The 26,035-nt window shown below is 43.4% G+C and overlaps 1 protein-coding gene and 1 long non-coding RNA gene across 64 annotated transcripts in view, besides 2 other annotated features; one reads left to right on the top strand and one right to left on the bottom strand.

Annotated features, from left to right (window-relative positions):
- IFT88 (intraflagellar transport 88) overlaps positions 1-9,669 on the bottom strand; it is a 124,288-nt gene extending 114,619 nt beyond the window's left edge. For 18 of the 58 annotated variants that reach the window (NR_148464.2, NR_148465.2, NM_006531.5 and 15 more), the window contains exons 1-2: positions 9,570-9,669; positions 2,351-2,446 (exon numbers count right to left, since the gene is read on the bottom strand). Coding sequence is in view for 51 of the 58 variants with exons in the window: in NM_006531.5 (NP_006522.2) it covers positions 2,351-2,440 (90 nt within the window). In the remaining 7 variants the exon portion in view is untranslated. Of the gene's footprint in view, positions 1-2,350; positions 2,457-3,674; positions 3,806-8,828; positions 9,157-9,569 lie in introns of all 58 variants that reach the window. The other 40 variants (NR_134653.2, XR_007063700.1, XM_017020763.2 and 37 more) reach the window with 9 other exon arrangements.
- Positions 9,276-9,464: a silencer, noted in NCBI's record as "fragment chr13:21141501-21141689 (GRCh37/hg19 assembly coordinates)". NCBI's record gives its function as "represses an EF-1alpha promoter that drives an FKBP-Casp9 reporter gene in an ReSE screen in K562 erythroleukemia cells {active_cell/tissue: K562}" and the evidence as "EXISTENCE:reporter gene assay evidence [ECO:0000049][PMID:32094911]".
- Positions 9,560-9,969: a silencer, noted in NCBI's record as "silent region_5154". NCBI's record gives its function as "represses an Ori minimal core promoter by ATAC-STARR-seq in GM12878 lymphoblastoid cells {active_cell/tissue: GM12878}" and the evidence as "EXISTENCE:reporter gene assay evidence [ECO:0000049][PMID:35858748]".
- Positions 9,797-25,192, top strand: LOC105370103 (uncharacterized). 6 transcript variants are annotated; one of them, XR_941725.3, is made up of 6 exons: positions 9,797-10,150; positions 11,276-11,325; positions 16,577-16,723; positions 16,913-17,186; positions 20,857-21,024; positions 24,577-25,192. It is a non-coding gene; the product is annotated as an uncharacterized LOC105370103 (long non-coding RNA). The 6 variants fall into 6 exon arrangements; XR_941724.4 differs by having other exon boundaries at positions 9,797-10,365; positions 16,577-16,712; XR_941722.4 differs by having other exon boundaries at positions 9,797-10,365; positions 24,581-25,192.
- The last annotated feature ends 843 nt before the right edge of the window (positions 25,193-26,035 follow it).

Below are 26,035 nucleotides of genomic sequence, written 5' to 3'. Positions count from 1 at the left end.
GAGCAAAAAGAACAAAACTGAAGAATTACATTACCTGACTTCAAATTACACTATAGAGCTATAGTAACCAAAACAGCATGATACTGGCATAAAAACAGACAGACTAATGGAACAGAATAGAGAACCCAGAAACAAATCTAGACATCTACAGTGAACTCATTTTTGACAAAGGTGCCAGAAACATACATTAGGGAAAAGACATTCTCTTCAATAAATGGTGCTGAGAAAATTGAATATCCACATGCAGAAGAATGAAACTAGACCCTTATCTCTCACCATATGCAAAAATCAAATAAAAATGGATGAAGGACTTAGAAATCTAAGACCTCAAACTATGAAACTACTAAAAGAAAACACTAGGGAAACTCTCCAGGACACTGGACTGGGCAAAGATTTATTGAGTAATACCCCACAAGCACAGGCAATCAAAGCAAAAATGGACAAATGAGATCACATCAAGTTAAAAAGCTTCTGCACGACAAAGGAAACAATGAAGTGAAGAGACAACCCACAGAATGGGAGAAAATATTTATAAACTATCCCTCTGACAAGGGATTAATAACCAGAATATGTAAGGAACTCAAACAACTCTGTAGGAAAAAATCTAATAATCTGATTTAAAAATGGGCAAAAGATCTGAATAGATATTTCTAAAAAGAAGACATACAAATGGCAAGCATGTATATGAAAAAGTGCTCAACATTATTGACCATCAGAGAAATGGAAATCAAAACTACAACGAGATGTCATCTCATTCCAGTTAAAATGGCTTTTATCCAAAAGACAGGTAATAACAAATGGTGGTGAGAATGTGGAGAAAAGGGAACCCTCATATACTGTTAGTGAGAATGTAAATTAGTACAACTACTATGGAGAACAGTTTAGAGGTTCCTCAAAAAACTAAAAATAGATCTATCATATGATCCAACAATCCCACTGCTAGGAATATACTCAAACGAAAAGAAATCAGTATGTACCAGGCCGTTCTTGCATTGCTATTAGGTTGGCGCCAAAGTAATTGCAGTTTTGCAATTAAAATGGCAAAAACTGCAGTTACTTTTGCACCAGAGAATGCTTGAGATTGGGTAATTTATAAAGAAAAGAGGTTTGATTGGCTCATCGTTCTGCAGGCTGTACAAGCATGATATCAGTATCTGCTCAGTTTCTGGGGAGGCCTCAGGGAGCTTTCACTCATGACAGAAGGCAAAATGGGAGCAGTCACATCACATGGGGTGAGGATGGCACCAAGAAGATCATGCTAAACCATTCATGAGAAATCCACTCTCATGATCCTATCGCCTCCCACCAGGTCTCACCTCCAATGCTGGGTATTACAATTCAACATGAGATGTGCGTGGGGATAAATATACAAACTCTATCACAGTATATCAAAAAGATATCTGCACTCCCATGTTTGCTGCAGCAGTATTCACAATAGCCAAGATTTGGAAGCAACCTAAGTGTCTGTCAACAGACAAATGGATAAAGAAAATGTACATATATACAATGGAAAACTAGCCATAAAAAAGAATGAGATCCTGTCATTTGCAATAATGTGGATGGAACTGGAGGCCATTCTATTAAGTGAAATAAGCCAGGCACAGAAAGACAAACATCGCATGTTTTCACTTATTTCTGGGATCTAAAAATTAAAACAACTGAACTCAAGGAGATAAAGAATAGAAGGATGATTACCAGAGGCTGGGAAGGGTAGTGGCAGGGGAGGGGGTGAGAATGGTTAATAGGTACAAAAAAAAAAACAAAAAGAAAGCGTAAGATCTAGTATTTGATAGCAAAATGGGGTGACTATAGTCAATAATTTAATTGTACATTTAAAAATAACTAAAAGAATATAATCGGATTGTTTGGAACACAAAGGATAAATGCTTGATGTAACAGAAACCCTATTTACCCTTATGTGATTATTACACATTGTATGCCTGTATCAAAATATCCCATATTCCCCATAAATATATGCACCTACTATGTACTCACAAAAATTAAAACCAAAAAACAAGACATTTCAACTTTAAAATTTTTCTTAAAACCCTAATTTTAAATACTTTCAGGTGATCTAAGTCTTTTACACATTTGGATAGCTAGTGCTGAAGAATACAAGTATATATAATTCACCTTAATTCATTTTTGTAACCTGTCTCATGATCTTTCCTTCTGCTGCAATTATTATTTTTGGTGGAAGTCAGTAGAGTCTTCTGTAATAGCACTTTTCTAGGTTTTTGAATCAGCTTATTTAATCTAAAGCATAATAAAGTAGAACTCTCAAATCCACAGTCTTCATAAACCAGCTGGTTAACCAAGACCAATGTAAAAAACAACTAGCTTTTGTTACCTCGATATCATAGATTGGATTGTAGTCATTATAGCCGGAATAAAGATCATCTTCATCTGTCTCTGGAGCCAGGTGCACATTTTGCATCATTTGTACCTAGGAAAAACTGGCAGTGTAAATATGTTCTTGGTATAAGAAATATATATATATATTTTTTGAGATATGTCTTGCTCTGTTGCCCAGGCTGGAATGCAGTAGCACAATCACGGCTCACTATAGCCTTGATCTCTCTGGCACAAGTGATCCTCCCACCTCAGCCTCCCTGGTACTATAGGCTTGTGCCACCACACCCAACTAAGTTTGAAATTTTTTGTAAAGATGGGATCTCCCTATGTTGCCCAGGCTGGACTCAATTTCTTGAGCTCAAGTGATCCTCTCACTTTGGCCTCCCAAAATGCTGGGATTACCAGCATGAGCCACCACGCCAGGCCAGAAATAATTCTTAATTCCAATAAAGTATAACTATTTAATGACATTTGTGGTCAAATTTATCTATATATATTTTCATGGCTTCAATTTTTTTCACATCAAATTCCCAAAACTAGATGTCAAAACATTAAGTTATTGTCCTCATTTCACATTTATTTCACAACTACGACACTGAAAGAACAGTGACAGGCACTAGAGGGGGTACAATTGATTGTCCTGATTTTCATGGAAGCTTAGTATCAAGTGCAGAAGAAAGGTATGCAACAGTCAATTAAAATGCAAGGCAGAAGCCACCACATACCCATCAGAATGTGTAAAATTAAAAAGACCAACAACACATAATGTCAGCAAAAATGTGGAGCAACCAGAGTATTCACACGTTGCTGATGGGAGTGTAAAATGATACACTTTGGGAGAAAAGTCTTGCAGTTTCATAAAATTAACTTTTATTAAAAGTACCTTTTATCACCCAGCAATTCCACTCAAAAATATTTACTCAAGAGGAATGAAAACATATGTCTACAAAAAGATTTGTATAAGAATGTTCATAGTAGCTGTCGACCTAAAGAAAGGAATTGAGGCATAAAATACAATTCTAAAAAGTTTACTTGAGCCAAAATGAGGACGGCTGCCTGCCCAGAACACTCAGACTTCATGTAACCTTGGACAGGCGCTCCATTTGGCCTTTGTTTCAAGCAGATCTTTAAAGGCAAAAAAGTGGGGCAGGGAGTGGGCTGATACAAAGCTGTCTGTCAGAAATTCTCACTGGTTTAAAAAAATAACGTTGATTAGTGATTGGCTACATTGTATGGGTTATAGTATCCAGACAGTGCCATTGTTAGATTAATTTATAGCTACTTATGGCAATAGCAAGCAAGTTTCAAGACATGATTACTTAGCCCAAGAAGGTAAAGGAGATGTGACTGCTGTTTCACTCCCACGCCTCTCTGGACCTGGTAATTTAGAGGAGAGTCTCATTCTTCAAATTAAACCTTTCTTTTCTTTGTCATAGCTTTATTCATAATACTGAAAAATCAGAAACAAACCAGATACCCATCAGTAAAATGGACAAGCAAAATGTGGCATACTTACGCAATGAAGTACTATCCAGCAATAAAAAAGAATCCCAATTATGCTGAGTGAAAGAAGCCTTACATAGAGTGTACATTATGCACTGTTTCCTTTATATGAAGTTCTCAAACAGGCAAAGCTAATTTGCGGTAGAAAACCATCAGAACTGAGATCGCTTCTTGGGGATGGGGGTTAGGGATTGAATGGAAAGGGACATGAGAGAATTTTCTGGGGTGATGATAAATGTTCTGTATCTTGGCAGGGGTTTGAGTCGCACAAGTGTATGCATTTGTGAAAACTCAGCAAATATACACTGCGATTTCTGCTTTGTAAATTTTACCTCAAAAGTAAGAACTATAAACAAATATTGAACTATATAATTGATACGCATGCTGTTATTTCAGGGAACATGTAATAGCTGTAATTTAGCTTAAAATACATAAAATAAGACAGCTTAGGCCGGGCGCCGTAGCTCATGCCTGTAATTTCAGGACTTTGGAGGGCCAAGACGGGTGGATTACTTGAGGTCAGGAGTTTGAGACCAGCTTGGTCAAGATGGTGAAACCCCATCGCTACTAAAAATACAAAAACTAGCCGGGCATGGTGGTGCACATCTGTAATTCCAGCTATTTGGGAGGCTGAGGCACGAGAATCGCTTGAACCCAGGAGGCAGAGGTTGCAGTGAGCTGAGATCATGCCACTGCACTCCAACCTGGGTGACAGAGTGAGACTCTGTCTCTAAAAAAAAAGATGGCTTGATAGATGGATTGAGAGATAGGTAAATGGATAAGTACATGATAAAGCAGCTATAGAAAAAGGTTAATGGTGGAATCTAGGTAGCAGGAGTAACATTCAACATAAAATTCTTTAAACCTTGCTGCATGTTTGAAAATTTTCATAATGAAATGTTGAGGGAAAAAATGCAAGACAGAAAAAAAGATATCAAAGCAAAATGAAACAGAAGAGTGAAAGCTGATCATACAAATTTGAGTCATTCTTGTCATACCCAACTAAAACAGAGTCAAGAAGCTGGGGTGTGTTGGTGGGGAGGCACTCAGGACACATAACATTGCTTGAAGAATGGAATTCTCTGCAAGTCTGGCTGCTGAAACTGGCTGCTAAAACCTGAGGCCAATTTTATTTATAGCTGCTGAGATAACTTGCTGCAAATATAGGACTAATTGTGCCCACCACAGCTACCCACCAATTAGAACTTGCCAGCTTCCCAGAACCTCACTAGTTCCAGTGAACTTTCTCAAAGAGCACTACATGACACTTCTCCTTTTGATAAACCTCCAACCTTCTCTTTGTTCTTTGGACATACCAAAGACCACCTGGTCCTCAAACTGCAATTCTTTCTTCCCAAATAAAAATGTAAAATTTCAAGATTCATCTCTACATTTTGACTTGGACAGAAGCATGGGAGAAATGAAATTACCATATAGATATACTGTAAATCTAATAATTACTAAAGAATCTGGCAAGGATTCCTGGAAGTATCATTCAAATCAAGTCAATATTTTAGGCAATTTGAGGGGTGGGAGGTGGAGGAAGGCTAATTACCCAAGAAATGTAGTATTGCTAGTATTCAAGAAATGTATTTTCTTTAAAGCAAATACATATTTTCTTAAGGCCTGTACATTTTAAGTGCACCAGCAAATTCCTAAGAAATTTTCAGCTTAGGCTGGGCGCAGTGGCTCACGCCTATAATCCCAGCACTTTGGGAGGCCGAGGCAGGCAGATCACGAGGTCAGGAGATCGAGACCATCCTGGCTAATATGGTGAAACCCCGTCTCTACTAAAAATACAAAAAAATTAGCCGGGCATGATAGCAGGCACCTGTAATCCCAGGTACTCAGGAGGCTGAGGCAGGAGAATGGCCTGAACCTGGGAGGCGGAGGTTGCAGTGGGCCGAGATTGTGCCACCACACCCCTGCCTAGGCGACAGAGCCAGACTCTGTCTCAAAAAATAAATAAATAATAAAAATAAATAAATAAAAAATAAATTTTCAGCTTAATCTTTTTCTCAGCATAATACCACATATATGTGGCTTCTCATAACCTTTAAAAATTATTTATATATTTTAAATACTAACAAAATTATTAGTTTTTGAACTATAATTCATATACCATACAATTTAACTTTTCAAGGTGCAGTGGTTTTTAGTATATTCACAAGGTTGTGCAACCATCCCCAGTATGTAATTCCAGAACACTTTCATCATCCCATAAAGAAATATGGGGCCTGTTAGCAGCTCTCCATGCCTCCCTTCCCTTTCCCCAGTCCCTGGCAACCATTTTCTGTCTCTATGGATTTGCCAATTCTGGACATTTCATATTAAGGAAATTACACAATATGTAGCCTTTTGTGTCTGGTCTCTTTCACTTAGCATAATGCTTCCAAGGTTCATCCACGCAGTAGTATGTATCAATATTTCATTACTTTTTATGGCTAAATACATCTGCAACATTTTGCTTATCCATTCATTAGTTAATGGACATTTGAATTGTTTCCACTTTTTGACTTTTATGAATAACATCACTATGAATGTGTGTGTACAAGTTTTAGCATGCATATATAGGTCCAATTCTATTGGGAATATATCTAGTAAAGGAATTGCTGGATCATATAGTAACTCTATGTTTAACTTTTGGAGGAACAGCTAGACTGTTTTCCAAAGTGGCTGCACTATTTTACATCCCACCTGCAATGCATGAAGTTTCCAATTTATCCATGTCCTAGCCAACATCTGTTACTGTTCCTGTTTTTGATTATTGCAATTCTAGTGAGTATGAAATGGTATCTCATTGTAGTATTGACTTGCATTCCCCTGATGACTAATGATGTTGAGTATCTTTTCATCTGCTTATTATCCATTTCTATATCTCTTTGGAGAAATGTCTGTTCAGATCTTTTGCTCATTTTTTTTTTTTTTTGAGACGGAATCTTGCTCTGTCGCCTAGGCTAGAGGGCAGTGGCGCGGCTCACTGCAAGCTCCGCCTCCCAGTTTCACGCCATTCTCCTGCCTCAGCCTCTCGAGTAGCTGGGACTACAGGCACCCGCCACCAAGCCCGGCTAATTTTTTTATTTTTATTTTTATTTTTATTTTTAGTAGAGATGGGGTTTCACCGTATTAGCCGGTATGGTCTCGATCTCCTGACCTTGTGATCCGCCCACCTCGGCCTCCCAGAGTGCTGGGATTACAGGCGTGAACCACCGCGCCCGGCCAGCTCATTCCCAAAAATCAGGTTATCACATGAATTATAAGGATCCTGTATATATTCCTGATACTAAACATTATATAAATGATTTACAAATACTTTCTCCCATTCTGTACATCATTTTACATTCTTTGTACTATCCTCTGAAGCACAAAAGTTTAAAAAAATTTTTTTTTTTTTTGGGACGGAGTCTCGCTCTGTCACCCAGGCTGGAGTGCAGTGGCGCGATCTCGGCTCACTGAAAGCTCCGCCTCCCGAGTTCACGCCATTCTCCTGCCTCAGCCTCTCCAGCAGCTGGGACTACAGGCGCCCGCCACCACGCCCGGCTAATTTTTTGTATTTTTAGTAGAGACGGGGTTTCACCGTGTTAGCCAGGATGGTCTCGATCTCCTGACCTCGTGATCCGCCCGGCTCGGCCTCCCAAAGTGCTGGGATTACAGGCGTGAGCCACCACGCCTGGCCAAAAGTTTTAAATTTTGATGATATACAATTTATTTTTCCTTTGGTTGCACGTACTTTTGGTATCATATCTAAGAAAGAACTGCCTAATCTAAGGTCAAGAATATTTATACCTATGCTTTTTTTCTAACAGTTTTAGCTCTTATATTTAGGTCATTGATCCATTTTGAGTTAATTTCTCATTACTTTTTGAAGATGAAAATTAACTACTATGAGGGCAAATGTCACCCACATAGAAATGGCATTCCAAAATAGCTTCAAAAGGTTATTAAAAGGGCCAGGCGTCGTGGCTCACGCTTGTAATCCCAACACTCTGGGAGGCCGAGGCGGGCGGATCACGAGGTCAGGAGATCGAGACCATCCTGGCTAACACGGTGAAACCCCGTCTCTACTAAAAATACAAAAAATTAGCTGGGCATGGTGGCGGGCGCCTGTAGTCCCAGCTACTCGGGAGGCTGAGGCAGGAGAATGGCATGAACCCGGGAGGCGGAGCTTGCAGTAAACCGAGATTGCCGCCACTGCACTCCAGCCTGGGCAACAGAGCGTGCGACTCCGTCTCAAAAAGAAAAAAAAAGGTATTAAAAGTCACTGGTAAAAGATATATAAAATATTTTTAATTAAAAGCTTTAGCTCAGATAATACTAAACCAGTGGTTCTTAAACCCAAGTGATGCTGAGGCTACTGGTCTGGGGACCACTTTGAGAACCACTATTCTGAACCATAATTTCTGATTATGAACCCTATTTAAGTCAGCTTAGTTGACACATAAGTTATAGAAGGAAGCAACTTTTAGAATGAGAAATCCTTTCTGCTAGGTTGTAACCAGATTTTTAAAAGGTTTGACTTGAGACTTTAGTTGAATAGACATCTTGTGGAACATACAAATATTAAAAGATGTGGAAAGTGAGGCCAGGAAAGTTGAAGGGAATCAAGCATGGCTAATAGCTATGGGTGGCAGAACAACTGTTGTTATACAACCCAGGGTTTCTGGATTCTCCAGGCAATTTCCAAAGCAGCTTATACATGTAACAAACTTTTCCATGTTGAAATAATCTGGGGATGATGCCACCTATGTTTAATATAAATCAAATGCTGGCAAAACCTTTTTTTTTTTTAAGTGAAAGGTATGTTTTTTAATACTCTTCTACTGACTATGGACAGTCTACTTCAAGCTTTTCCAACCCCGGCCCGCACGTGGCACAGGACGGCTTTGAATGTGGCCCAACACAAATTCGTAAACTTTCTGGAAGCATTATGAGATTCTTTTTTGCGATTTTTTTTAAAGCTCATCGGCTACCTTAGTGTTTGTGAATTTCATGTGTGGCCCAAGACAATTCTTCTTCCGATGTGGCCCAGGGAAGCCAAAGATTGGACACCCTTGGTCTACTTCCAAGAAGCCTACTGCAGTTTCTCGAAAAAAAAAAAACAAACAAAAAAAACTCACAACCAGAAAATCGGACTAGTAAAAGTGTAATTTTAGGCTTAGAAAGAATCTTGGGACAACAGTACTTCACGTTTTTGGAATGTTTCCATCTTTGTGAGGCTAAGTACCGCTTTCTGCATTGTTGTGTACTTTTATCTTCATTCCTGATTCAACTTTCATCAGGCAATTTGAAGTGCTTCACCTAACAAGAAAATTAAAGAGCGATGTGCACCATCTCTGCTGTGCGATTCCAGAGCTGGCGCAGTAATCTAACTGGGTTTTAAGTTTCCCCGTCAGGCGTGACTGGGACTTGGGACATCGCCAAGCGGTCAGCGACGCCCGTCCCAGTTCAGAGGAGCAAGAAAAGCCTGTGAGCTGGGGACACCGATGTGAGAAACAACGCCCGCGTTTCTGAGTAGACAACTCGGGAGCCTGAGGAAGAAAAGCAGGGGCAGGCCGAGTCCATCTGGGGCCCCGCCTCAGACCGCCCCGGGGCCGACAGGGGCGGGCAGGAGACGGGCGAAGAGGCCCTCGGCGGGATGCGCCACACAGGACGCCGCAGGGGCACGGCTGCCAGGGGCCCTGAGGCACTAGGCCCCAGCGCCCTTCTCCTACCTCACGCTGAGGGAAGCGGGCGACAGTTATTCGGGCCCAGGGACGACGCAGCGGTTGGCCAAAGCGCGACGCCGAGCCGTTGCCAAGCGCGGAATCCAAGGAAGCCGCTCCCACAGTCCTCCGCGCGGGGGCGGGCGGGGCCGGAAGCGCGGGGGCGGGAGAGAGCGCGGCGGGAAGGGGGTGGTGCGGGAGGCCTGGGGAAGTGGGTGGGGGCGGAGAACGGCGGGTCAGAGAGAAGGCAGCCCGGTCCCCCTCAGTGGAAGGGAGTGGCGGTGGGCGGAGGGTGTTGAGGGGACGGTGCCAGCGGCTTGCGGGAAGCCGGGCGATGCGGGTAGAACGGTGGAGGAGAGGGCAGGGAGGCCGGGGCCTCCCGTGGAACGGAACCGGGGGGTTGGGAGGCTGGGGGCGGCCTGTGTGAAGGGGGCGGGGAGGGAAAGGCTCGCGGCCAGTAGATGCAGGAGGGAGGAGGGCCTAGAGGGGCTCCGGGCTGGCGGCCTCTGTGAGGAAGGGGAAGGATATGGAACCAAGATCCTTTAAATCCTGATGAACTCATCCGTAAAGCAGATGCCCAAAGGATGATAGTAAGCTTACTGTGACATAACTCCCGGAGCCGCAGCACGAGCCTTGTGAACCTTGGAAGCCCGTTTTCCGCGCAGTCACTAACTCGCTTAGTCACCCTGTGTAAAAGTTATTCTGGGATGACACCTGCCTGGGAAGTCTCACCTTTCCCCCCACCTCCTCCTGTCTGCGTATTGTTCTGTAGCACCCCGTGCGCACCTTGATTGTAGCGCTTAAGGTGTCCGTTTTATTTACTAGACAGGGATTGAACCATTGTGTCCCAACCACCTAGAACCTGGGTCATAGTGTAAAGCTTAATCAATGTAATATAAATGGGGGAATTAAATTCATAATTGTTTAATGTTTAAGTTTTGTCTTAAATTTTAAAAGTAAATGTTGGGGATGGAGGGGAGGGACAGAGGGAGTCTAAAGACACCAGTAATTAATGAGTTTTTATAAAATAAGTAGTGTTGGCCGGGCGCAGTGGCTCATGCCTATAATCCCAGCACTTTGGGAGGCTGAGGCTGGCGGATCACCTGAGGTGAGGAGTTGGAGACCAGCCTGGCCAACGTGGTGAAACCCTGTCTCTACTAAAAATACAAAAATTAGCCCGGCGAGGTGGCAGGCGCCTGTAATAAATCCCAGCTACTCAGGAGGCTAAGGCAGGAGAATCTCTTGAACCCAGGAGGTAGAGGTTGCAGTGAGCCAAGATGGTGGTATTGCACTCCAGCCTGGGTGACAAGAGCGAAACTCCATCCAAAAAAAGAAAAAACATAGTGTTGGGGGACAATTCTCCATGGGTCACCTGCACTTTCCCGTGTTTTGTGAGCAGAGACACTGACTGCCTTTGTTCTGGAGTACTATGATAGCTGGTATTTTTTAAGATGTGATTAACAGTTAAATTAGACTTGAGTAAAGCAGTTGGTCCTCCACAAGGTGGGTTGGCCTCATCCCGTCAAGGGAAGGTCATAAGAGAAAAGACTAAGGTCCTCTGAGGAAGAAGGAATCCTGCCCCCAGACTGCCTTCAGCTCTTTCCTGGGTCTCTAACTTGACCTACAAATTTTAGGCTTGCCAGCATTATAAATAAAGTTTTGGTGCCGCAAAAGAAATAGCACTCAACTATAAAATTTTCTTTTTTCCTTCTCAGCAAGGCAATTTACTTCTATAGAAGGGTGCGCCCTCACAGATGGAGCAATGGTGAGCACACACCTGGACAAGGGAGGCGAAGGGGTTTTTATTCCTGACGCTTGTGGCACCTGCTGCTGTGTCCTTCCCCTGTTGGCTAAGGTTAGACGGCACAGGCTAAACTAATTCTGATTGACTAATTTAAAGAGAGTGACCGGGTAAGTGGTTTGGTGGGAAAAATAGTTATGGCAGAGCAGGAAATCGGAATGAGTCAGGGTGGAGAATGAGTCAGGGCAGAGCAGGTAATCAGAATGAGTCAGGGTGGAGCAGGTAGTTGAAAAAGATTGCTTTACGAGGAAGTTAAGCTTTTTTTGTTTTGTTTTGTTTTTTTTAATTGAGACAGAGTCTCGCTCTATAGCCTAGACTGGAGTGCAGTGGCGGCATCTCGGCTCACTGCAAGCTCTGCCTCCTGGGTTTGCTCCATTCTCCTGCCTAAGCCTCCCGAGTAGCTGGGACTACAGGTGCCCGCCACCACACCCGGCTTATTTTTTGTATTTTTAGTAGAGATGGATTTCACCGTGTTAGGATGGCCTCCATCTCCTGACTTCATGATCTTCCCGCCTCGGCCTCCTGGGATTACAGGTGTGAGCCACCGCATCTGGCCAGAAGTTAAGTTTAAAAGTAGAAGACAAAGAATTGAACATACTGACATTGATTCTTCGAAGAGAAATTTAGAACTCATATCTAACACCAGCCTCCAATTGATTGAGCCAATTCCTTCAAATAAATCTCTCTCTGCAATATGCATCCTATTGGATCTGTTTCTGTAGGGAATTCTGATTAATATACCCTTTCAAGGAACAGCTTTGGAAGATTAAGATAATTGTCTGCTTCTGGAACAAAAGACAGGTTTGTTGCTGTTCAGTTTAATAAAGAGAGTGTCACCTTCTGGGGCAAAGGCTGAGCATGTTGGCTTGCAGTTCACTGTTCAAGACTGGGCTTTCCTAAACTTGGTGTACCTGGGCGGTAAAACCAATCACATGTGCAGCATCCACCTGGACTGTCCCCATGGGACTTGGAAGGGAAAGGGGAACCGAAGGGAATATGAAGCCCAGGCTACTGGCTGTGCTGTGAAAAATAAAGCCCTTTCTCTCTGACTCAGGTGTTTTCTGCCATCATTTGTGGAGCTGTTAGATGAGCTTGTTAGCTTGCAAGTAGGGTAAAATCTAACATGATTCTGAATAGTATCTAGCCATACTATACCCAGCTCATAGCAGTTGTTCCAAGAAATATTTGTTGAATTAATTAGTGAATACCGGGGAGCCTTATTTCAAGTTACTGTCCCTCTATAGACACAATTTCCATTATCTCTGGATCTCCAAACTGTAAATTTTCAGTCTCCTCAAAAAAATCTTTTTAATTAGAAACAAATTCAAGTTACTTCAACTTGGTTACTTTTTTTTTTTTTTTTTTGAGACAGAGTCTCACTCTGTAACCCAGGCTGGAGTGCACTGGCACCATCTCAGCTCACTGCAACCTCTGCCTCCCGGGTACAAATGATTCTCCTGCCTCAGCCTCCTGAGTAGCTGGGACTACAGGCATAAGCCAGCACACCCAGCTATTGTTTGTATTTTTAGTAGAAATGGGGTTTCACCATGTTGGCCAGGCTGGTCTCGAACTCCTGACCTCTTGTGATCTGCCCGCCTCTGCCTCCCAAAGTGCTGAGGTTACAGGCGTGAGCCACCGCACCCGGCCTCAACTTGGTTGCTCTTTGGGTGTGATACAGTTACTTGCCCAGGGAGTGCTCATTCACCTTCATTTTAAACATCATTATGTAGCTAGCATTTAATGAACACACCTATTATTGCCAGGCAAAATGTTAGGGTCACCTAGCTTATATTACTGAAATTCAAGCTCCACAGAGAATGGGCGTTTTTGTCTTTTTTGTTCTAGACTGTATCTCCAGTACTTAGAAAAGTGCCTGGAACTAGTTGACTCTCAATAATTGTTAATCGAATGAATTGTCAGGACTTGTAATTAATTATATAGAGAGTTGGGGGTGAATGGGTAGTAAGCAGCAAGCATGAATCCCAAGTTTGGCATGAGTAATGGGATGAATGCTAGCACCATGTATTACCATGGAGAATACTGGAGGAGATGCAAGTTTGAGAGAGAAAATGAGTTTAGTTTTGAATATGTTGAGTTTCAGATGCCTGTAAAATATGCAAATAGAGATGTTGACTAGGCAGCTGCTGAGTATATACAATTGTATTAATAAAGCTCAGAGAAAAGATCCTCAGGCCTGGTATGGTGGCTCACATCTGTACCTGCACTTCGGTGCCAAGGTGGGAGGATTGCTTGAGGCCAGGAGTCCAAGACCAGCCTGGGCAGCATAGCAAGACCCTGTCTCTACATATAAATAAAAATGAGCCAGGTGTGATGGTCCACACCTGTAGTCTTAGCTACTCAGGAGGCTGAGGCAGGAGGATCCCTTGAGCCCAGGAGTTTGGAAGCTGTGTTGAGCCATGATCATGCCACTGCACTCCAGCCTGGACAACAGAGTGAGACTCTATCTCTTAAAAAGAAAAAGAGGCCAGGTGCGGTGGCTGACACCTGTAATCCCAGCACTTTGGGAGGCCGAGGTGGGCGGATCATGAGGTCAGGAGTTTGAGACCAGCTTGGCCCACAAGGTAAAACCCCATGCCTACTAAAAATACAAAAATTAGCCAGGCATGGTGGCACATGCCTGTAGTCCCAGCTACTCAGAAGGTTGAGGCAGAAGAATCACTGGAACCTGGGAAGTTGCAGTGAGCCAAGATCGCGCCACTGCACTCTAGCCTGGGCAACAGAGCGAGACTCTGTCTAAAAAAAAAAAAAAAGAAAAAAGAAAAAGAAAGATCCTGTCTAGAGATACACACTTGTTATCCACTAGCTCCTAAAACATGGATTTAAGCGTAGGAGTGAGTGAGATTGCTTACAGTGAAGGAGGATATAGAGGAGAGTCTAAAATTGAGTAATGAAAAAGTAATATTTAAAGATTTTGTAGGCCGGGCGCGGTGGCTCACACCTGTAATCCCAGCACTTTGGGAGGCCGAGGCAGGCGGATCATGAGGTCAGGAGATCAGACCATCCTGGCTAACATGGTGAAACCCCATCTCTACTAAAAATACAAAAAATTAGCCAGGCATGGTGGTGCGCGCCTGTAGTCCCAGCTACTCGGGAGGCTGAGGCAGGAGAATCATGTGAACCCGGGAGGCGGAGGTTGCAGTGAGCTGATATTGTGTGACTGCTCTCCAGCCTGGGCAACAGAGTGAGACTCCGACTCAAAAAAAAAAGAAAAAAAAGATTTTGTAGAAGAGGAGCCCCTAATGATTCTGTTTAATGGTCAGACATATTTGAGCAAAACCAGGAAAGTGAAGGTAATGGAAGCTAAAGGAAGAAAATGTGTCATTTGAATTCTGGCACTCTGAATTAGAAAACAAAAAAGTCAAAAAGGAGGGAGTGACGACCGTGTTGTATGCCCAGGAAAGGTCAAGTAAGTTGAACCAAAGACATTTCATGTTCTTTAGCCATATGAAGGTCACTGTTCATTTAACAAGAGCTCTTTCAATGAAACAGTGATGTATACGCCTGACTTCACAGAGTTGCATGGGTAATTGGTGATGAAGTAGTAGCTGGACACTGAAACTCAAGAAGGCTGACTGTGAATGAGAAGAAAGAGATAAGGCACTGGTAGATGGCAAACGAGCCCAAGGAGAGTTTCTGTTGGTTTGTTTTAAAAGATAGAAGATAATTAGAGCACGTTTTAATTAATACTCATGGAAATAATCCAGTTGAAAGAGTTCGAAGGTACAGGGGAGACGGCTAAGAGGGAGGAGAATGGAAGAGGTTCCAAGGTTGAAAAAAGGTGAAGAAGGTCTAGAATAAGCAGAGAAGAGGAGAGATGTTAACTAGAGAAATACACTAACATTGCTTGGTAAGTTTAGGTGCTCAATTGACACCAACAATTGTGAGTTTATAGTGAAGCCTTTTCTGATACTCTCGTAACCCCATTTTTTCCACTGATCTTCATCAGGTACAGACATGGAAAAGGCAGATGGGAAAATGTACCCAAGGTTGAAATTTGTTGGGCAGTTGCCAAGAAAGGACTCTTATCATCATAGACATGAAATTTAATATAAATAACAATTTATATTAAATTTATTGTATTATTTATATTAATTTAATATAAATATAAGAAATGAGTGGGGCTAATGAATAGGAAGAAAGTGGAGGAGTTAGATTAGAGGTCCTGATGAAGTTAGAACAGTTGCAGTAGAGTTACTTCAGCTTTTTGAATTAGTGATCATGGAAGTGGAACAGTTTTTTGTTTGTTTGTTTGTTTGTTTGTTTGTTTTTGAGACGGAGTCTCACTCTGTCACCCCAGCTGGAGTGCAGTGGCTCGATCTCGGCTCACTGCCAGCTCTGCCTCCCGGGTTCATGCCATTCTCCTGCCTCAGCCTCCCAAGTAGCTGGGACTACAGGCACCCGCCACCACGCCCAGCTAATTTTTTTTTGCATTTTTAGTAGAGACGGGGTTTCACCATGTTAGCCAGGATGGTCTCAATCTCCTGACCTCATGATCTGCCTGCCTCGGCCTCCCAAAGTGCTGGGATTACAGGCGTGAGCCACTGCGCCCGGCCGGAAGTAGAACAGTTTTGAGTTGGTAACAAGGTTCAGGGTTTGATGAAGGGTGTGGTCTGGAGGAAGCCATTTGAGATAAGGAGTCCAAGGTTTGAAGCCACTGGAATAAGTGGAGAGGTCGCTGTGAGCCAGGCGGCAAAGACTGAGGGAAAGCAAACAGGAAGCTGGAAGAGATTTGGAAAAGGGTATACCAGGTGGCCTAAGATTCACAGCAGCAGATCTGCAAGAGGGTGGAAAAACCAAGGAGAAACCACCAACCCTGCCTTCTGACTCAGACATCCCTGAGCTGTGAAAGAATAAATAACCTTCACCTGATAGGGCTCCAAGGGAAACAGTATCCTCAAAAGACTACCAGTTTTCTGTGAAAGCAGAAGTGAGGAGAATATTGGGAAAATAAGTGGAAGATATGGGGCATCTGCTAATCACAAAACAGAAATTCCAGTGGGCTTGAGGGGAGATTGGACCAGGATATGTTGCTGACCAGAATGACCTGTAGTCTGGGTGGTGACCAAGGACAACAGAGGTGTGAGAGGAGGTGGATTTAGACCTGACATACACTTCTAACAGAATTTGGCTATGGCCTGCAAGTGAGGCTCAGTGGCTCTGGCAAGAGGCTTGTTACTCTTCCTTTTTCACCCAGGTCAGCTGGTGATGCAGTTGCAGCCAGGAATGAGTGAGCACCAGCCTGGGAACATTTATTCAGCGAAGGTGGTGGAGGATGGGCCCCTGCAGGCTGGTTTCCTACGTGAGGCTGATGCTGTCATGGTTTCCCTGAGGTCAGTGGGAGGTCAGTGTTTTTGGTTCTTGGCTGTCTGACATTCATCAATAATTTGAACCGACCTGCTGCATTTCTCTCCAATCATTGCACCTCTCTCCTTCCCCCTACAACCTAGAGGGTCCAGGCAGCCTCTTCTCTCACCTGCCTTGTTACCACAGCCTTTTCTCCCTGCTTTCTCTCTACTCTTCTGTCTTCCAGCTTGCTCTCACTCAATGGATTCTCCACACGGTCCCCACTCCCCGCGACACCTTGACTTTTGGACCAAGTCTAAACTCCATAGTGTGGCTTAGAAGGCCCTTCACAGGATGACTGACCCCTGTGGAACTACTCAGGATTCTTTGTTGCAGCCAAGAAAAGCCAATTCTTGTTGATTAAGCAGAAAAGGAGTCTTTTTGGAAAGATATCAAGTAACTCATAGAATTGTCCAGAAGGCTAAGGAACTGGCTTGGAAAAACAACAGAAGCTCAGGGAGGTAAGGCACAGTCAAAACCCTAACACAGGGACCATCTGCTTATGTGACAGAGACCAATCCTCCCAGTTTCCTCAGGACAAGTTGGTCACCCCACTTAGTCAGAGGTTGTGGGCAGGATCTCCACTTGACACCTGCCATCTTGCCATTGGACACTGGTTGCCACACAGCTGCACTCTTCTTTTGGGCACTTTCTGCCCCACTGGACACAGGGATCTCCCACAGGCTCTGTGAACCATTTTTAACCATCCTCCCCTTTATCTGCCTACCTCCCAAGTCAGAGTCCTGGATAGGAACACAAGTTGGCTGTGTGTAGGTCAGTGTACCGTGTTGTAGCTGCCAGGAGCTCAAAGATGGGGTATCTGCTCACTTTAACCCTCCTCCCACCTATTTAGGGATTCTCATAAAGTGGAAAGTGTGTTCAGATGTTGGGCAGCCAAAAATGACAGCTACCCATTGAAGTTTCACTGTCCATGGTATCTCCCTTCGCCTCCTCTCTTATTTATTATGCTCCAGCCATACTTAGCGTGTTTCAAGTCACTGCAAGGTACCATAACCTCTCTCACCTCTAGGCCTTCACACATGCTATTCTCTTGTCCTAAAATGGGCTTTCCTACAGTCATCTTAGCCTGGCCATTCCTTTCTCTAGGAGGCTTTCCCTAGTCCCTGGTATATGAGTTTTCTAGGGCTGCCATAACAAAACACCACACAATGGTGGTCTTTTTTTTTTTTTGAGATGGATGCCAGCACTTTGGGAGGCCGAGGTGGGTGGATCACTTGAGGTCAGGAGTTCAAGACCAGCCATGGCCAACATGGTGAAACCCCTTCTTTACTAAAAAGCAAAAATTAGCCGAGCGTGGTGGCAGGTGCCTGTAATCCCAACTACTCGGGAGGCTGAGGCACGAGAATCGCTTGAACCTGGGAGGTGGAGGTTGCAGTGAGCTAAGATCATGCCATTGCACTCCAGCCTGGGTGACAAGAATGAGACTGTCTCAAAAAAAAAAAAAAAGTAAGAAAGACAATAGGTAGGCCCAATTTCACATATTCTGCCTCAAATGTACTGTACTCTCTCCCTTAAGAGTCACCTAAGTGAGACCCATATTCTTTTTTTTTTTTTTTTTTGAGACTGAGTCTCACTCTTGTCACCCAGGCTGGAATGTGATGGTGTGATCTCGGCTCACTGCAAGCTCCGCCTCCTGGCCTCACGCCGTTCTCCTGCCTTAGCCTCCCGAATAGTTGGAATTACAGGCGCCCGCCACCATGCCCGGCTAATTTTTTGTATTTTTAGTAGAGACGGGGTTTTACCATGTTGGCCAGGATGGTTTCAATCTCCTGACCTCGTGATCTGCCTGCCTCGGCCTCCCAAAGTGTTGGGATTACAGGCATGAGCCACCGCGCCTGGCCGAGACCCATATTCTTTAATATGAAAAACACTGTTTTTCTAACTGTCACCAATCAAGTCCAGGGAAATCATACTCATGGCCTTTGGACAGGATCTTTAGATCCTAAATTGTGACTACACAGTGTACTCACACTTTAACCCAAAATCAGACTTTGAAACCAGGCTTGCAAGATTTCTTACTTGCAAATTACAAATTAACTTTAGCCTGCCAGCAATTTCAGTCTGTTCTAAAACAAATGGACATTGGACTATAAATTACCCTGATGAAAGAGTCCTATGTCCACTCACACCACAAAAACCGCAGCCTTTAGCAAGTCGGAATTAGTATGTAGCATACAGGAAACCATGGGGCATTTCAAGTTGTGTCCCTACTATCACAGGCCCTAATGGCAGCATATAAACTAAAGCGCAGTTTATCTAAGGAAGCCTTTTTTTGTTGTTTTTTTTTTTGAGGCGGAGTCTCACTCTGTCGCCCAGGGTGGAGCGCAGTGGCACGATCTCGGCTCACTGCAAGCTCCGCCTCCCGAGTTCACGCCATTCTCCTGCCTCAACCTCCCGGGTAGCTGAAACTACAGGCGCCCGCCACCACGTCCGGCTAATTTTTTTGTATTTTTAGTAGAGACGGGGTTTCACTGTGTTAGCCAGGATGGTCTCCATCTCCTGACCTCGTGATCCGCCCCTCTCGGCCTCCCAAAGTGCTGGGATTACAGGCGTGAGCCACTGCGCCCGGCCCTAAGGAAGTCTATTTTTAAAGAAAGGACTACTCACTAAAGTCCGACTGTTAATTTCATAGCATATTGTTTGTCAGAGAGGAACTAGGTAAGATAGATAATGACTTAGCACCATTCGTGACTTAAAGGATGAAAAAGCCAAGCTCCTGGCCTTCTAATGGTAAAGTAACGCAGTCATACAGTTAGTGCAAAGCAGTTGGTTGCTTTTGCCTCTTCTTTCTTTGTTTAATCTTGATTTTTGTCTTGGATCATTCTTTCCACTTAAATCTGGTTTTAAAATGCCACAGTCATGCTCCCAGCCTTATTACTACTGAAAATTCTTAATGTCTACAACAAAGAATAACCCAATAGTTTAGTTGACTTATGTAAACATTTAGAATTATCCACATACTTGTTATGTCTTCCATTTTCTTTTTAATTTTCCATGCAGAGATGATGATTCAGTAAAAAACAAGTCTCTCAGTTGGGTGGGCATAGTAGCTCATGTCTATAATCCCAGTGCTTTGGGAGGCCGAGGCAAGAGAATTGCTTGAGCTCAGGAATTCAAGACCAGCCTGGACAACATAGGAAAACCCTGTCTCTACAAAAAAATAAACAAAATTAAAAATTAAAAAATTAGCTGAGGCCAGGTGTGGTGGCTCACGCCTATAATCCTACCTTTGGGAGGCTGAGACGGGTGGATCACTTGAGGTCAGGAGTTTGAGACAAGCCTGGGCAACATGATGAAACCCCGTCTCTACTAAAAATACCCAAAAAATTAGCCAGGTGCGGTAGTGGACGCCTGTAATCCCAGCTACTCGGGAGGCTGAGGCTAAAGAATTGCTTCAACCTGGGAAGTGGAGGCTGCAGTAAGCCAAGATCATGCCACTGCACTCCAGCCTGGGCGACAGAGCAAGACTGTCTCAAAAAAAAAAAAAATTAGCTAAGTTTGGTGGTGTGCAACTGCGGTACCAGCTACTAGGGAGGCTGAGGCAGGGGGGATCACTTGAACCCAGGAGTATGAAGCTGCAGTGACCTATAATCACACCACTCCACTCCGGCCTGGGTGACAGAGCAAGACCTTGCCTCTAAAAAAATTTTTTTAAACAGGATATTTCAGAGGAATTTCTAACAATTGTGTTGAGTTTACTGTTTTTTGGGTATAAGCAAACTTCAGTTTCTATTCCTATCAGTTTTGCCATGATTTTGCAGCTACTTACCTGCATTCAAACTCTCCATATCGTGAACCTCCCCTGCCTTTTTTTTTTTTTTTTTTTTTTTTTTTTTGAGACAGAGTCTCGCTCTGTCACCCAGGCTGGAGTGCAATGGCTTACTGCAACCTCTGCCTCCTGGGTTAAAGCAATTCTCCCATCTCAGCCTCCCGAGTAGCTGGGACTACAGGCGTGTGCCACCATGGCCGGTTAATTGTTGTATTTTTAGTAGAGATGGGGTTTCACCACGTTGGCTAGACTGCTCTCGAACTCCTGACCTCAAATGATCTGCCCGTCTCGGCCTCCCAAGAACTTCGCCTGCCTTTCTAACCTTATTTTCTTCTGTTAAGGAGAGATAAAGACTTTGGGAGCAAAGATGAGGTTCGGAGAAAGGTTTACTGTCAAGCAAGGAATCTGATCTGACCCAGAGAACTTCAGTTCTGGGGATGAGGCCCTAAGAATCCGGTCTCCGTCAGGAAAGCAGTCTGTGGGCTCTGGAGCGACCTGGGATCTGGAGTGTAAGTGTATCTCTATGGTTTGTCAAGAGGCGGTCTTCTCTGTGAGTGTGAAGTGCTTATTTCAGTGTAATGGCACCTCCGTGGTTTCCACTTATTCCCGATTATGGTACCCTCACAATCATTTTAGAAAGACTCAAGTCTGCATTGCCTCCCACCTCTTGGATGACATCGCTACTGTCATCATTATCATAATCACTAATATTATCATTGTAAGGTTTTGGAGACAGGGGTCATGCCTTATATTTCTTGCATTCCCCCATGGATGTGTAGAATACATTTTCTCTCTGGTCTTAGATGTTTTAATAATAAAAAGAAGGGCCGGGTGTGGTGAGTCACACCTGTAATCTCAGCACTTTGGGAGGCCAAGACGGGCAGATTGCCTGAGCTCAGGAGTTCGAGACCAGCCTGGGCAACATGACGAAAACCTGTCTCTACCAAAAAATACAAAAATTAGCCAGGCATGGTGGCGAATGCCTATAGTTTCAGCTGCTCAGGAGGCTGAGGCAGAAGAATCGCTTGAATCCAGGAGGCAGAGGTTGCAGTCAGCCGAGACTGGGCCACTGCACTCCAGCCTGGGCGACAGAGTGAGACTCCATCTCAAAAAAGAAAGAAAGAAAGAAAGAAAATGGGGAGGGGGGGACATGGATTTAAAAACTAACTAGTGGGTACTGTGCTCACTACCTGGGTGACAGGATCAGCTGTACCCCAAACCTCAGCATGATGCAATATACTCACATCACAAACCTGCATACGTACCCACTGAATCTAAAATAAAAGTTGAAATTATTTAAAAAATAATAAATAAATTATAAAACTTCTAACAACAACAAAAACAAAATAGGCAGATTTTAAAAACACTGTTATCAGTGAAATACTAAGTTTGGAAGAGGTCTCCTGACCCAAGAAGGGAAACACGTTCATCCTCCTTCACCACAGGGCTTTTTTAGTGGGAAAACCTGAGGACCAAGGCCAAGGAAAGCTTACCTTTCTCAGTCAGGGACTCTGACTCTTCCTCTGATATGGCTACTGAATTATTGCGTGACTTTGGGCAGGTCCCTTCTCTAGGACTGTGTCTTGTCACCTGCAAAAGGAGGGGGTGGGCATAGCCTTTCCCACTGTAGCTGCTTTTGAGTCCTTGACCTCATCTACCTTCTTTTGGGTCCTTGACCTCATCTACCTTCTTTTGAGTCCTTGACCTCATCTACTTTCTTTTGGGTACTACACCCTAGCGGTTTTTTTTTTTTCTTTTCTTTTCTTTTTTTTGGGGGAGGGGGGAACGGAGTCTCACTCTGTTGCCCAGGCTGGAGTGCAGTGGCATGATTTCAGCTCACTGCAAGCTCTGCCTCCCAGGTTCACACCATTCTCCTGCCTCAGCCTCCCAAGTAACTGGGACTACAGGGTAACCCGCCACCACGCCCAGCTAATTTTTTGTATTTTTAGTAGAGATGGGGTTTCACCATGTTAGCCAGGATGGTCTCAATCTCCTGACCTTGTGATCCACCCACCCCGGCCTCCCAAAGTGCTGGGATTACAGGCGTGAGCCACCGCACCTGGCCCACCCTAGCGTTTTATTGCCTGCTAGTTTGACAATGTTCACAATGAATGGAATCTTAACTATTGTTAAGGGGGAGCTCCTTAGTATTTATTTATATTTTAGTTCAGGTTCAAAAGTAAGATTTCTCTTCACACAAACGTCTCACTTTTTTTTTTTTTGAGACAGAGTCTCGCTCTGTCGCCCAGGCTGGAGTGCAATGGTGTGATCTCAGCTCACTGCAAACTTCACCTCCTAGGTTCAAGAGATTCTCCTGCTTCGGCCTCCTGAAGATGGGACTACAGGCGTGCACTACCATGCCCAGCTAATTTTTCTATTTTTAGTAGAGACAGGGTTTCACCATGTTGGCCAGGATGGTCTCAATCTCTTGACCTTGTGATCCATCCGCCTCGGCCTCCCAAAGTGCTGGGATTACAGGCGTGAGCCACCGTGCCCAGTCACGTCTCACTTTTAAGAATCAGTAGAATACTCTAGATTTAAGGTAGTCTGTATTCAGAGATCACTGATTAAAACAGAAGGGAGTGGAGCAGAGGGAAGAAAGAAAAGTGGAAAAATACTCTAATAAACATACAAGCCGCTTTTATGGATGGAAAATAGTAAAAAGCTGGCCTGTGGCATGCTCTAATTGCAGCCCACATGACCCTGCTTGTGCCTGGAGCAAAGTGGGGCCCTGTGAAAGGTTTCCTTACAAAGCAGCACAGGCTGGCTGGTTCATGAACTCACACACTGCGCTGTTGTTACAGCCAGGCTTTCATGCACACCAAAGCTGATTTCTAAAAGGGCGTTTGTGCAGTCTGTGTGCAAAGTAAATTTCCATCACTTTGGCTTTTCTTTTGCTGCTTTCAGAAGAGCTGGCTTATAAAAAGCCTTATTCCATAGTATAACATGTCATTTTTTCTACTTGCTTGAGTCAGTAATTAAATTGGTTTCATAATAACAGATATGAATTTAGCTTTTCAACTTGAAAGTAGGATCAGTGAAGGCTGGAATGTGGCTTGAAAAGAAACCAGTAAGTTCTTTCCAACCCAAAGTCAACTCTCCCTTGTTCAGCATCCAAAATCACTAAAAAACAAGCACTCAAGTAAACCAAATAAATATTGTACAAAGATATTTGATGACAAGAAACAGTGAAATTAAGTGCATTATGTTTTCAGCATTAATTATCTTTGTTGATCCACGTCAGCTCTATACAGGGTCTAACAGTAACAAGTTCACTCATTCCTTCATCCATCCATTCATTTGTAGGAGTTTCACAAATGGATAAGCCAGAAGGAAGGCATTCCTGGCAGATACGAGAGCATATGCAAGCTGCGCACCTAACACAGTAGCCACTAGCCGTGGCTGTTTAAAATTAAATGGAAGGCCAGGTGTGGTGGCTTATGCCTGTAATTCCAGCATTTTGAGTAGCTGAGGCAGGAGGATCACTTGAGGCCGGGAGTTGGAGACCAGCCTGAACAACATAGTGAGATCTGTCTCTATAAAAAAATTAATGTAAATTAAATTAAAAATAATTCTGATTAATGTTATACTTATGTGTGCTTTTCAAAATTAAATCAAATTAAAACTTCAGGCCGAGAATGGTGGCTCACACCTGTAATCCCAGCACTTTGGGAGGCCAAGGCAGGTGGATCACCTGAGGTCAGGAGTTTGAGATCAGCCTGGCCAACAGAGTGAAACCTCATCTCTATCAAAAATATAAAAATTAGCCAGGCGTGGTGGTGGATGCCTGTAATCCCAGCTACTCAGGAGGCTGAGGCAGGAGAATCGCTTTAACCCAGGAGGCGTAGGCTGCAGTGAGCCAAGATCACACCACTGCACTCCAGCCTGGGCAACAGAGTGAGACTCTGTCTAAATAATAATAATAATAATAATAATAATAATAATAATAATAATAATTCATTTCTTCAGTCACACTAGCCACATCCAGGTGCTCAACTGCCACACAGGAATAGTGGCTACTGTGTTGGAGAATGTGACATAGAACATTTCCTTTATTGCAGACAGTTCTGTTGGACAGTGCTGCAAGGATGGAGAGACTATTAAGATCACCTGACTACACCATTTAAAAAATTTTTTGAATGAACTATCTTTGTTTGTAAGCCCCAAAACATGGTCTGAAGACTCATTAGTGACCTGATCATACAGCTGACCTCTGAACAACATGAGTTTGAACTGCGTGCGGGTCACTTATAGGCAAGTGTTCAACTGCACGGGGCAGGAGCAGTTGGTGCCCAATCTGCTAATTGTTCAAAGGTAGAGTGTAGTTTTTAAAGACAAGTGAGGTAATTTCTTTTAAATCTCTAGGCTACTACAATACAGAATGCTGGGAAATGAATTAATGTTATGCTTACGTGTGCTTTTCAAAATTCCCCTTGTGACTAATGGGATGTCACTCTGCAAAAACATTGTTAGTTTCCCATTGATTCCACTGGTTTGAGTGTGTTTAATGCCGAGGAAAGTGAGAGTTCTTTCGGAAGATGGTAGGTTTTTGTCTTTTTGAGGTGGTTCATTTACTTTGAGAATCATCATTTTGTATTTTTAAAACCAAGTCTTATATGCAAAATTATTGAACTGTGAGAAGAAAAGGCAAATAAAATCTTTCTTTTTCATTGCAAATGTGTCTTTATCCAGTAATGACTTTGAAACGGGCATCTAAATACTTTCTCTGAAACCCCAGTGAAGAAAGTCAAGGGGTCATCCAGGGTGAAGATCTTAATTGGCCTGTTTCCTTCAGCAAGTCTACATGCTTGTTGATTTAGCTTCTCAGCTTCTAATTTTTGTAGATTTCTCAAATTCAGGATCTCCATCTCCCTTCCTCTTACTCATCCTCCTACCACCCCTAGAATCCTGAATCTAGACAAAGATAAAATCCATAAGTGACATTTTCTGTAAGTGAAGTTGGAAGTAATTTGGGAAAAAGCTACAGTAATTATAAGTGGTTATGAAACCCTAATTTTCTGACAAGAACCTACTATCTCTCTGGACATAGTTATACTCAAGCACATCAGTTTCCCTAGACAATATCATACACATCATAGCCTCTGTGACATATGGTTGTATAGGTTGTGGGTTGTGCACTGCACAAGGACACATTTAAGGAGGTGTTGCTCACATTATATACATCACAGATTTGGTACTTATAACAAAAATAAAAACAATTTTCCAGAAGATGGCAGTAAAGTTGTTGGAGGCTGAAAGAATGAGGGTCGTGGTCAACTCAGTGCACCACTGGCGGCTATATGAGCAAACAGCAAACTGTTCTCGTGAAAGCAGGATGTTGGTAAACTGACAAACTGTGCCTGCCGCCCAGTAGGAATGCTGAGGGCAGTCACAACCCAGGCACGAGTGTTTCTTGTGATTAGGCACAACTGAATCCTGTTAGCAATAATGTGAACCTGTGATCAATTAAGCAGCTGACCAATCTACCTCCTCCTCCCTGCTCTTTATACCCAATAAATA

The sequence above is a fragment of the Homo sapiens genome, chromosome 13 (assembly GCF_000001405.40).
Source record: "Homo sapiens chromosome 13, GRCh38.p14 Primary Assembly".
Lineage (NCBI taxonomy): Eukaryota > Metazoa > Chordata > Mammalia > Primates > Hominidae > Homo > Homo sapiens.
This window is presented reverse-complemented; position numbering and strand designations above follow the sequence as displayed.